At 47.6% G+C, this 3,708-nt stretch overlaps 1 protein-coding gene across 17 annotated transcripts in view; it reads right to left on the reverse strand.

The window, feature by feature from the left end:
* KIRREL3 (kirre like nephrin family adhesion molecule 3) overlaps positions 1-3,708 on the reverse strand; it is a 580,037-nt gene that overhangs the window by 425,257 nt on the left and 151,072 nt on the right. The window lies entirely within an intron of this gene.

Genomic DNA, 3,708 nt, shown 5'->3' on the forward strand with positions numbered 1-3,708 from the left:
CCCAGTTCATGGAAAGCCTTCTAATTTAGTTTACATGGGATAATTTTGCTTATTTTGTTATATTGCTGTTGGACTCTCTGTGTAGGAATGCAGAATAAGCTTACTCAATGTTTTCTTAAATTGAATGCTTATCACTCTTCCAGATATCACCTTTTGTTGGAACTCAAGAGTTATAAATGGCCCTTGACATACCAAAGCTTTCTGACTGAGCTCCTCTCTACCCTAAATACAAGAGACCTTCATAGTTTGGCAAAAATATCATCACCTCTATTCAGCATGAAGAAGTTACAGAAGATGGATCTTCGTTCCTCTACAACCCTTAGGATTAAGAGTTCTCTTATAAAAGGGAGTTGGGAAATGTCAGAGGTGTTTAAAACAGAGCCACTCCATCTTGAATAGGGGCTGGATAAAATAAGGCTAAGACCTGTGGGGCTGCATTCCCAGTAAGTGAAGGCATTCTTAATCACAGAGTGAGATAGGAGGTCGACACAAGAGGCAGGTCATAAAGACCTTGTTGATAAAACAGTTTGTGTTAAAGAAGCCAGCCAAAACCCACTCAAACCAAGATGTCGATGAGAGTGACCTCTGGTCGTCCTCACTGCTACACTCCCACCAGTGCCATGACAGTTTACGAATGCCACGGCAATGTCAGGAAGTTACCCTATACAGTCTCAGAAGGGGAGGCATGAATAATCCACCCCTTGTTTAGCACATCATCAAGAAATAACCATAAAAATGGGCAACCAGCAGCCCTTGGGGCTGCTCTACCTGTGGAATAGCCATTCTTTTATTTCTTTACTTTCTTAGTAAACTTGCTTTCACTTTACTCTATGGACTTGCCCTGAATTCTTTCTTATGTGAGATCCAAGAACCCTCTCTGGATTGAGGCCCCTTTCCAGTAACAGGACCACACAGTTTGGGAAAGGAATGGGGTCCCGATGGCCACCTGCTCAGGTAGAGGCTTTCTATTTCTCCTGTCCCTGCTGACCGGAAATCAGCTGCAGAAGGAGAAAGGCTTGGGCAACGCAGAGATGTCTAGTCACAGACATTTGACTAAAGGGCGGTGGGGAGAACGGGCACTTGATGGTCATGATGGGGCACTACAGAGAAGGGAAAGAGACAGAAGGTGGAGACGGTGTGAAATGGGCAGCACCCAGGAGTCACAGGTGCGGCTTTTCCAATGGATGCACCTGTTGAGGATGGAGGTGCCTGGACGCACGTTCACCATGGCACAGGCAGCAGTGAGGTCCATCCATTTTCAGGAGACTGACAGAATACCAGCAGCCTGTCTCAGAACTTTACTTAATAAATCAAAGCTGACAACTCCCAAAATGGTATGAAAACGCTTTTTAGTGTCCATGACCGGCATACATTGTATTCATTTCACTTTCTGAAATAAGAGTTGAACCATAATCACAAACAATCCATTCTTGTCAGGTATCAACAGTACATCTTTCTTTAGCCACCAAAGCGGGGGTCCCTGTAATCTGGCACTGCCTGGGCCTGGGGTGAAGGAGTCAGAGTGAAACAGCAAACATCGCGGAGACAACAGCTCCCATCTGCAGAGCACTTTGGAATTTCCAAAGATATTTCACCCACATGATCTCTTTTGAGCACCATGACCACCCTATCAGATGGATTTTATTAACTTCCCTTTTCACAAGGGCAAATGCAGGTGGAGAGGGCATAGCTGACACTCTATGCACACCACAGTTGTTGTGGTGGGCAGCCCTGTGTAGTGGGAGAGGCTTGCCCTCAGACACCTGCCCTCCCAGTGCTTGCGAGTGAGCTGCTGGGTGGGCTCCCTTTGTTGGCAGCTCTAGGCCTTGAGTTGGGGTAGAGGCAAAGCTAACCCAGACCTGTCCTCCAGGCCTGTCCTCATAGGTTCTCCCAACTCCTCCTCTATCCAAACTGCTGCCTCTTTTTTAACACTTTGCTTCAGGGTAGGGTTCCCTGTGCCTTCCACAGGGATCATGAGCTAATCATAAAAACCACTAAGGGTCAAGGGGCAAGAGTGAGTGGCAGCCATCTTTGCTGCCAACAGAGGAAGACTTTACCAGGAACTTCAAAAGGCAGCGTTCCAGCCACTGCTTATCCCCAAAATAAAAGGAAGGACTCAACTGGTTGAAATGTCAGACTTGGGAGCCTCATCTATGAGGGGCCTCAGCTGTGCAGGGGACCTGAGGATAATAGATTAGGATCCTGGAGTACTCTGCCTGGGAGAAACCTTCAACTGGTTCACTAGGAGATCCCATATCCACAGCCAGGCCAAAGCAGCAATCAGAACAAAAGACTAACAGTTACCGGACAGGCCCAAGTCACACATACACTGCAAAATAAACCTTAACTCCAATCAAGTAAGAGGCAGAGCAGCACTAGCTGTTGAAAGTTCAGCCAATTAATATGGTCAGCCCACCTGGGTCTCACTAGGCACTCTCTGAAGGTGATAGGGCCTTGAACTGTCCCTGGTGGGGTTGGGTAGGAAAAGAATTCTGTATAAAGAAGGCTTTGATCTCAGATCATTCTGCCAATGTCCAATTACACTTAGGACCCGACTGCCATTGTGTGAATGTGTATTGTGCTTTAAGGTGACATAGTGAATGAAAGAGCCATATTTTGGTAGAGTGTGTGGGTCACTTCACTTAGATGATGTGCTGGTGGTTCACTGGAAAATGTCTGAGACCAGAGGTCAGAGCATCACTTGTACACTACTGGTCCTGAAAAGCCTATTCAGACATTTGGGGTGCATATGTGACTGAGTCCATGCAGGGAAGGTACCTCTCTTGATTGCTGCTTTCTCAGCGATATCACCTTGGTGCTATATGTGCAAATATTTACATGTAAATGAAAGGATGTGATTTATTGTTGAAATTCCTAAGGGGAATGCCATGGGAGGCACTCTGGAGCAATTATCTACTCCCCGACTCTTACGCCACACAGCGTGTTTCAGACAGAGAGAACATCTCGAATGTCCTCTCTGCCCGGCCCTGGGAACCACATCCTGAACCCCCACCAAGACCAAGGTGTCTTTATTCAGGCCACCTTCTCTATCTTCCAGTGTGGTTTTCTGTCTTTCCTAAACTGCAGGATGCAAATTGTGGACTCAGGCTTCCAGTGAAAGCGATTAAGACATCCTGGCAGGGAGGCAAGCTCTTTATTTGCCCTTTTTTGATGGGACAGCATAAAGCTGGATCATTTCTCTGAGCTCCCTGGAGGCCATCAAAGTCTACATGGGCAGATGGAGCATATAAACAAGCCGGGCAACTCACTAGCTGCTGTAAAGCAGACCGTGGCTCCTCTACCTCGAGGAGAGTAGGGCGGGTGGAAGTCAGGCACAGAGGCCTTTGCACCTGCAGCCTCCTTGCCTGACCCTACTGGCTTTCCATTTGCCACTCTTCCATGAGCACATGAATTCAGAAGGTTGGGGCTATAACCTTTTTTTTTTTTTTTTTTTTTTGAGACAGAGTCTAGCACTGTCTCCCAGGCCGGAGTGCAGTGGTGCGATCTCGGCTCACTGCAACCTCTGCCTCCCGGGTTCAAGCGATTCTCCTGCCTCAGCCTCCCAAGTAGCTGGGACCACAGGTGCGTGCCACCACGCCCAGCTAATGTTTGTATTTTTAGTAGAGATGGGGTTTCACAATGTTGGCCAGGATGGTCTCGATCTTTCGACCTCATGATCCACCCACCTCAGCCTCCCAAAGCACTGGG

Source organism: Homo sapiens, chromosome 11, assembly GCF_000001405.40.
Source record: "Homo sapiens chromosome 11, GRCh38.p14 Primary Assembly".
In the NCBI taxonomy this organism is placed as follows: Eukaryota; Metazoa; Chordata; class Mammalia; order Primates; family Hominidae; genus Homo; species Homo sapiens.